The sequence below is a fragment of the Homo sapiens genome, chromosome 12 (assembly GCF_000001405.40).
Source record: "Homo sapiens chromosome 12, GRCh38.p14 Primary Assembly".
Lineage (NCBI taxonomy): Eukaryota > Metazoa > Chordata > Mammalia > Primates > Hominidae > Homo > Homo sapiens.
The window spans coordinates 106080116-106092819 of record NC_000012.12 but is presented as its reverse complement, the minus strand read 5'-3'; the positions used below and the strand labels follow the sequence as shown (position 1 = coordinate 106092819).

Below are 12704 nucleotides of genomic sequence, written 5' to 3'. Positions count from 1 at the left end.
CATGCGCTTTTGAGTTGCACAAATCTGCCATCCAATCTTGCTGGGTATCTACCCAACAAAAATGCGTACAGATGTGCATCAAAAGACATGCACAAGGATATCCACAGTAATACTATTCATAACAACCCTCAACTGGAAACAGCCCAAATGTCTATCAACAGTAGAATGGATAAATAAACCACACGATACATTCACATAATGGAGTACTCTAGAGCAATGAGAATGAACAATCTTTGACGACATTGAGCAACGTAGATTATTCTCACAAACATGTTGAATTAATGACAAAAGAAGGTATACTACGTGATTCCATTTTTTTTTTTTGAGACAGAGTCTCGCTCTGTCACCAGGCTGGCTCACTGCAACCTCCTTCTCCTGGGTTCAAGCGATTCTTGTCCCTCAACCTCCTGAGTAGCTGGGATTACAGGTGCCCACTACCACGCCCAGCTAATTTTTTGTATATTTAGTAGAGACGGGGTTTCACCATGTTGACCAGGCTGGTCTCGGTCTCCTGACCTCATGATCCACCCGCCTCGGCCTCCCAAAGTGCTGGGATTACAGGCATGAGCCACCACGCCCGGCTATGACTCCAGTTTTTAGAACTTCAAAACTCATCTACGATTTTGGTTCATATTCCTCATATTCATGGTATTGGTGTATCTGTATCTTTGGGGAGATGATTAATGACAGAAAGAGGGCATGGCAGGGGTGCTTGCAGGGGGCTGGCAATATTGTTTCTTGATGTGAGTGCTGGTGCCCTATTTATTTATTTATTTTATTTTTTGTTTTAGAGATGAGGTCTCGCTATGTTGACCAGGTTGGTCTCAAACTCCCAGCCTCAAGCAATCCTCCCATCTCGGCCTTCCAAAGTGCTGAGATTTCAGGTGTGAGCCACCATCCCCGGCTTGGTTCCCTATTTATAAAGTAGGGATAATATGGATCCCTATCTCATAAGATTATTGTGAGGAATAAATGTTTTAATCCATGACATGTAGTAACTGTTCAATAAATATTAACTATTCTTATTACAAGCTTTCTAGGGAAGGAGAGATCCCTGTCTGGGAAGTCTCCTGGAAAAAATTGAGCCCCAGACAATTTCACAGGTCCAGGATCCTGGATGCTGTCCTGTGCCTTGCTCCTGTCTCTTGGATTGTTCTCGGCGATGTTTGGTTGCCTGTGTGACTCACCTGCAGCTCCTTGTGGGCTTTCAAGGTCTTGTGTTTTATTCATCGCCGTCTTCTTTCTCTCCTCCTAGTCCCTGGCCCTGCCAGCTGCTGGCGGTTCTGTTTCTGCTCTGTTCCCTTCCTCATGCTGACCCTTCTACCTGGCCTGCCTTTCCTTCCCCTCCAAACTGGGAAAAGTCTTCTTTCGGTATCCCCAGTGCCATCTGCATAGTAGGTGCTTTCTGCTGTGCTAAAAACCAGGCTGTACACCACCTGGCCATGGCCCCAGTGCTGTGGGCTGACTCAGGCTGAGCTAAGTTTCTATTCAGGGATTTAATTTTCCTGGTAGGCCTGGCATGTCAAGGGCCATAGTTTTCCTTACCATTCTGGAGCCACCGGGCCTCTGGGTAAAACTGTCTGGCCAAGAGACACAGGCTTTCATTTTTCAGAAAGGAAACCCTTCCCAACTGGTGGAAAATAAGCTTTTGCTTAGTGACTAATAACATAAACACAGACAAGATTTCTGGGCTTATAAATAACCAGTTGTAAAAGTGCCCAAGGGAAGCAGCCTTTTTTTGCTAGAAGAATGGCCAAGAGTATCCCTGTCACCTTGTAGATAGTGACCTTAAGCACGGGCAAAGGAGCGTTGGGCCAAGGGTGTGGAAGCTGCTCATTCTTCAGTATTAATTCCCAAGGCCTTGCTCTTATACATTATAAATCCTGGACTATTCTGGAAAAATAACACCCAATCTCTAAGGTCCTTTCCTGCTCGAAAATCCTGTGATTCTGTGGCAGCCACAACATGTTTTAAAGAGCGATGCCAGCAGGGAGAGGAAAGTCTTAGGGTTTTGTTTTGCTAGAGCTGCCTAAGTGGCTGATGAAGTAATTATGAGCACAGCTTCCATTCGTTGAGCACTGGCCGGGGCACCGTGCTGAGGGCGATAGACCTGTGAGGAAATTACTAGTCTCATTGGACTGATGAGGAGGCGGAGGGTCAGAGGGGTTGATATATATGAGTAGTAATGGAATGGCTGAGAGCTTGGGGGTAGCAGTCAGACTGCTGGGCCCAGTGCTGGCTATGCCTCGTACTCTTTGTAGTTATGGGAATTATTATTCACCTTGTCGCCCCAGGTGTTCTCATCTGTAAAATGGGGATCCTCATAGTACCGAATCCTTATGATGTAATTCATGCAGAATGATTATTAGCATGGTGCCTGCACATGGTAAGCCTACAGCAAATTTTGCTGTTATTAAGAAAGGCTTCAAGAAGCTTCATCTGTAACAGCTCTGGCCTCCTTGATGAAACACTGAGGCTTGAAATCTAGAAATCTTCTTTGCTCTCAATTAATTTAAGGTGACAGGGCCTTGACCGTGAGACTTGGGCTTCTTCCTATGGGGGACTGGGGGATGGTGTCCCAGAGCCAGGCCTGGCTGCTCGGACAGTTCTCTGACCAGATTGCTCACTGGCCCTGCCTGAGAGAATGAGGGGCCAGTTTTATCCCTCGGGTATCATCTCATTCATCCAGTGTTTCCCAAACTGGCTCCATATGAGTTCTTCTGGATGCCAATAGGAGGATTGAAATGGCCCAATCAACTGGCAGAACTCTGAGTTAAGGAAACCAGGCTCTCTGAGGACCATCAAGTATTAATGTTTGGCTTGGGTTTGACTGTGGAATTTTTTCTTCTTCAAGATAGCTTGCAGAATGAGTACTCCATGGAATATGCATTTGGAACTATTTCTTGACCCCTCCAAATGCAGTCAGCAGGGAGGCAAGTGTGAGGTCTGGCAACCAGAAAGGATGGGGGTAAGGGATGTCCTTGGAGGTGAGACAGGTGGACAGATCTGCGATATATTTTATTTTATTTTTGAGATGAAGTCTCACTCAGTTGCCCAGGCTGGGGTGCAGTGGTGTGATCTCGGCTCACTGCAACCTCCACCTCCTGGGTTCAAGCTATTGTCCTGCCTCAGCCTCCCCAGTAACTGGGGTTACAGGCACCTGCCACCACACCCGGCTAATTTTTTATATTTTTGGTGGAGATGGGGTTTCACCATGTTGGCCAGTCTGGTGACTTCTGGCCTCAAGTGATCCACCTGCTTCAGCCTCCCAAAGGGCTGGGATTACAGGCGTGAGCCACCGTACCTGGCCAGACTCGGGATATATTGTAGAGACAGGATCAGTAGGACTGATTGATGGAAGCTGCTTAGTAAAATATTTGGTGTATTGGACTGTATTGAACCGAATTGTGTTTGTGTCTCCTTGATACCAAATCAGCCAGTTGGAGAGGGAAGAATCCAGCCACTGAAACAGCCCTTCTGTCTGTGTGAGGCAAGTGGCTCACACCTCCCGACAGTCGCTGAAGGGCCAGAGGCTTTGGCTCCCTTAAAGACGTGCCAGACTCTTTGGGGTGTGAGTCTTCTTGTTTATTTACCTGTCAAAGTACTTTCCTTCTTCCTACATCCCTCCTTTTTAAAATTAGAAAACCCGCTGCCCTCTCCAGGGCCTATCACTCTTTCATTTTTGGGGCCTGGGCCATGCATCCCGAGGCAGTCGGGGTGTTTCCAGTTTCCAAGGTTTATTGTTAATGAAAAGTGCACAACAGGCTGAAATCCCTGGCAGGAGCCAAAGCTGCAGGGTACACCGAGGCCAGCAGACGCTGGAGCAGCCAATTTTATCTGGATGTTCTCTCCTCCTCCTCCTCCCTACCCTCCTCCTTCCCCCTTCATTTTATCAGGGAGGTTTGGCTGGACTTGAAGGAGCCAAAAAGGAACTGGAGGGGTCTGAGCTTCTAGCAGCCAGCAACAAGGTATGGGAGGACAGGGGACCCAGGCCTAGGGTAGGTTCCAGGTCAACTCAGTTCTTCATTGAATGTGTGTCTGCCTTGGTGCTAGGCTCTGGGGATGAATTAATATTGATAGCAACAATAATAGCTAACATAATTGAGTGTATGCTGTAAGGGGAAGGCCTTGTAAACATTGAACAAACTGGTATCAATAAGTCCTCCCAGCAGTTCTAAGTACTTGCTAATATTATTCACGTTTTGTAGTTGACTAAACTGAGGCCCAGAGAGGGCAAGCAACATCCCTAGAATCACACAGCCCTAGGAGTATCTCATTCCAACACTATAGTTTTTAGCTCTGTCCGTCTAGGCAGAGGACCTGGGTATGTAAACCAAGAAATAAACCTGCACAGTTTGCACGTGCTATGAGGCAAGTATTGACTAGTGCAGTGGGAGGGGCGCTGTGGAAACCACATATGAGCACAGTCTTGGCTAATGAATTAGGGTGCTGGGCATAGGGGGCCTGATGGAAATGTTAGAAAAGTGGATGAGATGGAGGGAGGTAGGCAGGGGACCTTCAGGGAGGGTCTTGGGTAGCCTACAAAGGTTTTTGTACTATATCCCTTAAGAGTGATGATGGATTTCAAAACAAATATTGCTTATTTTATCCTTGCTCAAAGGACATCTTATGTGAAAGTCCAAAGTATGAAACAGGTGGCAATGGAGTGGCTTTGGACAGCCTGTCATTTGTGGCCTCCCTTCTCCCTGCCTCCTTGCATGGGTCCCTGGCCATCTGCCTGGAACCCTGACTTTGAACATAACGGCTAGAGAGCATCAGCATTGGGTAGAAAGAAGCATTTACAAGCATTTGGGAAGACTGTTTCCTTGGTGGTGTGGAGGTTGAGTGAGAAGGGGCTGGACCTGGTGGCCGGGAACCGGCTTGAGATCATAGTAGCAGCGGCCCTGCAACCTGCGGCATTAGTTCCCCATCCATGCTGGGGACTGGAGCCCTGCTGATTCCAGCCAGCTCTTTGGGAGGCCATCTCATCTGGTAGTTCTGCACTTGATCTTTGACGCCAAACTGCCTGATTGCAGGCCGTGCCAGTTTCTTAACCTCCCTAGGCCTCAGTGCCTTCATCTTTCAAATGGTAAAATTACAGATATTTCCCTGATTATTTGTCATAGGGTTTAAATGAGTCAGTACATGTGAGGTACTTAAAACCTTACACACAAACTTGGTGCACAGTAAGTGCTATATTGTTATTTATTATTAATGTTCAGAAATGCCTTTATGTAGTTTGAGTTTACTCATTTAATAAATATTAGCTGAGCTCCTACTATGTTACTCTGTGCCAAATACTGTTCTGGGTGCTGAGGATACACCAGTGAGTGAAACAGGACAACCCCCTTTTACATTTGACTGGGGGAGACAGAATAAATAAATACATGGAATGGGTGTGTAGTAGGGCTGAGAGGGGCCCATGGGATCGTGCACGACTTGGTGGGCCACATTAAAAGCTTTGGGTTTTATTTGCCTGAGATGGGAAGTTATAAAGAGATGACAAGATTGAGCACCCATTTTGGGGTCAGAGTAGCTCTGTCAGGGCCGGCTACCTGGTCCGTATCCAGTGGTTAATAAATTATTGGTTGTGTTTGTTGTTACCCATCATCCTGTCTACAGGAAAGCCGTTCTGGGAGAGGGTATGAGAAATGATCTTGACAAGGAAAGTGGGGTCCTCAGAAAAGGGAACCACATTTCCCTTAGCATGACAAAGGCGTGTCCAGGAACAGTGGTGGTGACACACACCATTTTCCACCTGGCGGGACAGCACGCCCCACGCCTCGTGATGCTGAATTGGCTGATTTGTGTTCTGACCCATCAGTCGATCCTCTGCCTGGCGACATCTCCGTTGTCCTCTCTCGCATTCTCTGTAGCATAAGTGAGCTTGTTGGCTAAACGGGGTGTTTGTGTATTGCTGTTTTCCCTCTGCAGTGTTTGAGAACAAAGATAAGATTGTGATCATCATGGAATATGCCAGCAAAGGGGAGCTGTACGATTACATCAGTGAGCGGCGACGCCTCAGTGAGAGGGAGACCCGGCACTTCTTCCGGCAGATCGTCTCTGCTGTGCACTATTGTCACAAGGTATGGCTGCGCCTGGCCCGCAGCTTTGGCCGTAGATGGTTTTTATGGCACTGCATGATTTTTTTCCTATTATAAAAGTGATATCTGTTCATGGGAGCATGTATGGAGAATTTATGAACTAGAAAGAAGAAAATTACCATCACCCGTGATTCTGGAATCCAGGGATAATCTATTTTTGACATTTTTGCTTGTTTCCTTTCAGTCTTCTTCCTCCTCCTTCTCACATTTATTTTTTTATGTAAACTTTTAATTTTGAATAATTTTAGATTTACAGGAAAGTTTCAAAGGTAGTACAGAGAGTTCCTATCTATGCCTTTCTTAGTTTACCCTAATATTAACATCTTACATTTCTGTGGTACATTTGTCAAAATGGAGACACCAATGACCTTTTTCTGTTCCAGCATCCAATCTAGGGTACCACGGTGGATTCATTTTTACATCGTTTGTGTCATGCTTTTTTACTTAATACTTTAATCTAAATATTTTCCTATATTATTAAAAATTCTTTGTAATTCTTGATTGTTGGACATTGAGACTGTTTCTAATTTCTGATTATGACAAATAGTGATCAGTATCTTTATATATGAATATTTTCCTCTCATGTGAATAATTTACTTAAGAGAGATTCCAGAAGTAGAATTACTAGGAGAAATGTTCTTGAAACCTTTCTATGCTCTTGGTGCCTTTTCTTGCATAGGTTACCTACATGCACGGATGTGCTCAGAAGATGGCCGCAGACAGGCTCATGCCTATAATCCAAGCTAGTTGGGAGGCTGAGGGGGGAGGATTGCTTGAGCCCAGGAGTTCAAGACCAGCCAGGGCAACATAGCAAGATCCATCTTTAAAATTTTTTTTAAAAAGTAGCCAGGCATGAGGTTGCGCACCTGTAGTCCCAGCTGTTTGGGAGGCTGAGACAGGAGGATCCCTTGAGCACAGCAGTTTGGGGCTGTAGTGAGCTATGATGGTGCCACTGCTCTCCAGCCTGGATGACAAAGTGAGACCCCATCTCCAAAATAATAATAATAACAATAATAATATAGCCACAGTAGAGCCACTCTTGGTTTCTGGAAAAGGCATAAAGTACACAGATAACTACAAGCCATGTCTCAGCCATTATTGTTATTCATCACTTTGGCCATGAATTTCATCTCATTCAGACTTTCTCCAGATCTGTCACACCCTAAACAGTCATTTACTTTGAGGATAACGTGACTTGAGTCCAACAGGGCATCCAAAACAGAGTCAACTTCTTCATATAAATGATCTCAACATGGGGCCTCCTGGTTTGTTAAATATTATGTTTAATTGAGAGTGGCTCTGTAAGTAATTAGAGAACAGTTACTCAAATCTAAAACCCTTAACTCATGTGAACATTATTTGACCTCTCTTTGTTGACTCAAAATGTGCTCATGATTTGAATCGTATAATATTTTGTATTTCATCATGAGGTATCATTGTAAATCACCACAGAGGTGATATTTTTGATATTGGAAGTGTGTGAACACTTGGATTCTGTATGAATGAGGCTTTATTAGACTCATTCCATCTTATTACAAAAACCAGGAATGCAGCAATGTAAACCAAACTGCTCCTGATGTTTAAAATTAATGGAATCAGGTGTCTTGTAGTCCACATCTTTCTTCTAACAGACTCGGTTTTGTGCATTTCTGAATTCAGAAGACCTCATTGCAGGCTTGAATTAGAAAAAGATTAGTAGAAATACATGTTTTCATTTCTCCCTCTGAGCAGTGCTTTTGGAGATATTAAGAATGGTCAAATGAAAAGGAAAATAAACAAGAAAGAACCACCCATAAACATGCCTGTTGGTTTGCTCAAAAGAGCAGCTTCGATTGCAGATGTCCTTTATGCTGAATGATGTTCAGAATCATTCAATGTCCCCTGTTACTTGTCCACTCACCCCAAAATAGCCAGTTCTTTCGGGCCCACTGCTCTTCCCATGCCCACCCACCCCCTAAAAAGATAATCGGGTCTTAAAAAAGAATGAAGAAGGCTAGTGTTTACTGCTGTGTAGACCGACAGCCTATTGGCTGATGACTGCTTTTCACGTTTCAGCTGGCTGGCTGCTGGTCATTGAAGTTCAGCCTCCAGCCTTGCCAGAGTTTGCCTGAATGGAAAGGTCAGGCAGGATGGCAGCCACCTGCTTTGGTCAGGCCAGTGGTCCCAGTCTCATTGGTCTGCTCTCATGCTTCATCTTTCACCCAGCCCTGAGTCCTGCTGAGCAGAGAGGGACTTTCTGAGTCTTCTCTCCAGGTTGCTTAGGAAATGTTATCCTCAGGACAGATCAAAACAGGTCGGAATAGATTGAGCCAGATGTCTTTCCAGCGTTGAGTAGGCAGGCAGGCACACAGACAGACAGATGAGGAGTGCCTGTGAGCCCCACAATCTTGAGTCCCCAGTAGAGAAATCTGCTTCTTCCCTGGGAATCCCGTCCAGACAGACATTGTTTGCTGCTGCCTGGGATTATATTGCTTTCACACAGTGGAATTACATTCCGACAAAGAATCCCCCTGCTGTTTTACAGGCTCTGGGGGAGAACAGATTCCAGTCATTTTTCCCTTAACCACACAGCAAGTGACTAATGCTCTCCTGTCGCTGGTTGGTCGCTGGCGGGGGAGCGTCAAGACAGTGAGAGCAGCCTGAAGGATGGAGGTGAAGACCACCGGGCTGGTGCATTTCTTTAATCTGTCAGACATTTCCCTTTGCTCACCCTCCTCCTTCCTCTTTCTCTCTTGTTCTCATCCCAGCCGCTCCCATTCAATTCCCTCTTTGTCTTCTCATTTCAGAACGGTGTGGTCCACCGGGACTTGAAGCTGGAAAATATACTGCTCGATGACAACTGCAATATTAAGGTAAAGCCCTTGCGTCGTCGATTGATATGCAGGGCCTGGGTCTTGCAGCCGGATGGAGGCTTAACCTGCTCCAAGCCGCAGCCTGGAAATAAGGCAGCCACTTCCTACCTGGCAGGCTGGTGGGGAAGAGTCTCTTTGCTTGAGCTCCAAGTCCAGTTCAAACAATTAAATGCGACAAGCAGTTATTGATCTCCTACTATATGCCGGGCATTGTTCTTCCTCCCTGGGTAAGATGAGATGACTGAGATACAGTGTCTCTCCTCAGGAAGCTCATAGTCTAAAATCATCACCATAACAATACTTTTAGCAACCAATACATATTTCATATGTATTTTATATTTTTGCCTGCTATCACTTAAATTCAATCTTTACAACAACTCTACAAGGTAGGTACTGTTATTTACATAATTTCACAGATAGGGAAACTGAGGCACAGAAAAACTAAGTAATTTGCCCAAGGTAATCCAGTGGTAAAGAGTAGAGTTGGGATTTGAACCCATGTCTGTCTGATTTCACGAGCCCAAATTCAAGTCGCTTTGCTTGATTTGCTAGCAGGATCCTAAATTATTTTAGAGCTGGAACTCTTTGCCTGGCTATTTCTTTGTCACTCTCCACCCTGTCTCCTACTTCTCCCTCTCCACCTTCCCACCCCTGAAACCAGCCATAGACCTGGGAAGCTGACTAAAATGGGGATGGTGCTTGCTGTTGGGAAATAGCAAGTGCTGGAGTTTACTTGCACGGAGAGTATTATTGCTGGCTGCTGCTGGAGCTGGAGAAAGTTCTCCTGGCCCACAGGGTTCAAGTGCCTCCCAGGGAGCCCTCTGAATGTCCTTTTGACCACGTCTACAAAATAAGCAAATACGGTTTCAAAATAAACGGAGCTCGCTGCATGGGTTTCATTATGAAACGGCCTTAGTACTCCCGGCACCAGCAGGAGCCCTCCAATTGGCCGCTGGTGACGTTAGTGGCTTATCCCTGGTCCCTGGGCAAAGCATGGGAATGATTTTTTTGTTGTTGCTGCTATCAGTGGAGGAGCGTGTGATGAGACTTGTTTCCTTGCTTGGAAGGATGGAGTTGCTTTGGTGTTGGGATTCTCTGTACAGATCATGGCAGCAACCATTAGTCACCATCATCCTTTGAGAGGCCCCTGGAAGCCATGACCCAGTGACCTCTTGCTCTTGCAGAGTGTTTGACCGTAGTCACATGTAGTCTATAGAATAAGCAGGAAATAGTTGGTCAAAGTAGTTCTCCATGGGAATAGGAAGTGGAATCGCAGGGTCTATTTCTGGCAAAGTGGTTGGATTATTCTAGAAGGAGCACTGGTTGTAGAGTTAGGAAATTCCGGGCTGTATGGCTTACTAGCTTCTTGACACTGGGAAAACCACTTAACCCTGTTTCCTCAGCTGTAAAACGGGGTAACAGTACTACTCACAGGCCTGCTTAGAGCAGTGAATGAGACACTCTGTGTTTAGTTTTGTAAACTGCTAAGCACTCGTGTCCAAATGAGTCAAAGTTAAAAGCAGTGGCTTTGGAGTTAGATATTTCAACCCTGCCCCTTAGTAATGGCAGGATTTGGGGTAAGTTTCTTGATGATTTAGGCTTTAGTTTCCTCATCTGTCAAGAGTTGCCAGTTCCTGTCTCTGCAGATTATTGTTTATTTGTTCATTTTTGTTTCAAGGAGTATTTTCTGAACTGTTACTGTGTGCAATGCCCTGTGCCCAGTCCTGGAGAGTCAATAATAAACGTGAAGATTTTAGACAATACTACAATCAAAGCAATTCATGCTTAACTGTTACTATACTGGGAGCCTTCTTAAGTGGCTGGCCACTGGAGAGGGAATTGAACCGGAAGTCAGCTGCTCTGAAGGTGCCTACCTAGGTCCTGGGGAGTGGTGGTCAGGCCATGGCTGAAAAATTGGTCTTGGTTTGAGGGCCACCACATTTTTCTAAGGGTTTGTGTCATCAACCTTATTGACTTCCTCTCCAGATCCTTCCTGCCACCTGCCCCCAGAGCTCTCAAAACTAAATGTCATCTTTACAAGGCCTGGAATGTAAGCCTCTTGCCTAGGGGTTGGGTTCTATGGTGCAGTGTGACCTCTTGGTCCCATGATGTATTCCCAGAAGTGATAAGACACATAGCTTTCTATGAAATCATGTAATTCCCTAATGGAGGAAAAGAATGATTAGAATTCTGAAAGCAATTGTGCAGGGAAACAGTGAGGCAGGAGCCCAGGAGAATGGCTTCATTTGTGTAAGCAAAAGGGCAATGATGTTGGGCCTGACAGTTCCCCTGCACCAAGTTCTTCAACCTAGGGTGCCTGTGCATGATGGAGGGAAAGAGCACACACACAAAGCAGTATTATCAATTAAGGCTTAGGCATATACCTTTCCTTAAGAATTTCTAATCCTGGCATTTCCCAAGGTAAAGCACGGGTGTGCATGCACACATACGTCCCAAAGAGAAACCAGATCTTCCCATTATCAACACTTTTAAATTCCTTTCCTCTTTGTTCAAGGAATCCTACTTAGGTCTGAGAATCCTACATCTTTAAAGAACTTTGGGAGTCATTTTTCCAACCCCTTGTTTTAATGATTAGACCCAGAAAGTCTAGAGGATAATGCCCACGATCACACAGTGAATCAGTCTGGACTAAATTATTGTGTCTTTGCTTCCCCAGAGTGTAGACTAGTGCTTGGCACACAGTAGGTACTTCAAAATGGTTTGATTTTGGAATAAAGGAATGATGAGCCAGGATTAGAACTCATGTGTTTGACTTCCAGGCAAATTATCTTTTCATCATCTCCCATCCACTTCCAAGGTTTTAAAAAAATGTGATTCAGCTGGTCTTGATTTGTCTTCTGGTGGTATATTCTCAACTCTTCCTGACTCAGCATTTTGCTGAAACATATTTAGAAAGGACCCATGCTGGCAAAGGCAGGCAGATACATGGCCACAAGCCGGCCTCTGTGCTCAAGAGAGCCCCTGCCATCCGTGTCTGGACCTGGGGGACCACAGACACACGAGCCACGAACCAGCGGGACATGAGCAGCAAGATCCTCTCTTGGAGCCCCCTCTGGTGCTTCTCTAAATGTGGATCCATTTTCCACGTTTCAAGGGTGGAGGACTTTGGCCTAGGAAGCCTATATAAATGCTACTGGTTTAAACTTGTCACATGTCGCTGCAGTGGTGGGGAGAGCCATGTAGCTCATTCCTCTCCCCTTCCCTGCCTGATGTTGATTTGCAGAGCACACATCTGGCATTGGAAATTATTTATCTGGCACTGCGAGAGGGTGTGGTTTCTAAAAATATTCACACAGTCGGTCAGCAGAAAGAATGAGAGCAATGTGCTGCTTTGGGCTGCATTCCGTACTCTGGAAGCATGTCTACTAAAATAGACACCAAGCACAGCACTAATTTGCAATTAATAAAAAACGGGCCAAATTCACAGCCCACTCTCTGGGAGAATGGAATGCTGACAATTCCCATAGAAGGCTCCTGTAAAAATGTCTTACAATGAGAAGAGGTCCAGGCACCAGGGTCAGCCGACCTCCTCCAAGAGGGCTGGGAATCTGGTGAGCTCCCAGGGCTCAGAGTAGAGGGGCATAGGGGAAATGGCCTGCTGCCCCTTAAGACAATGGAAGCGCGGCTGCTGTGGATAAGAAAAGAAGCTTTGAATGGCCAGGGCCAAGATGAGATAGAAACCTCTGAAGCTTAATAAGACCAAGTGGGGCAGCTGAGAGTCAGCCTC

The 12704-nt window shown here is 45.6% G+C and overlaps 1 protein-coding gene across 1 annotated transcript in view, besides 1 other annotated feature; it reads left to right on the top strand.

The window, feature by feature from the left end:
* Window positions 1-12704, top strand: part of NUAK1 (NUAK family kinase 1) — a 75610-nt gene that overhangs the window by 46135 nt on the left and 16771 nt on the right. Inside the window, exons 3-4 of the mRNA NM_014840.3 lie at window positions 5935-6086; window positions 8891-8956. Of these exons, the coding sequence (NP_055655.1) occupies window positions 5935-6086; window positions 8891-8956 (218 nt within the window). The remainder of the gene's footprint in view (window positions 1-5934; window positions 6087-8890; window positions 8957-12704) is intronic.
* Window positions 11429-11929: an enhancer, noted in NCBI's record as "H3K4me1 hESC enhancer chr12:106474669-106475169 (GRCh37/hg19 assembly coordinates)". NCBI's record gives its function as "activates a minimal SCP1, AML or CMV promoter by ChIP-STARR-seq in naive H9 embryonic stem cells {active_cell/tissue: H9 hESC(naive)}" and the evidence as "EXISTENCE:reporter gene assay evidence [ECO:0000049][PMID:30033119]".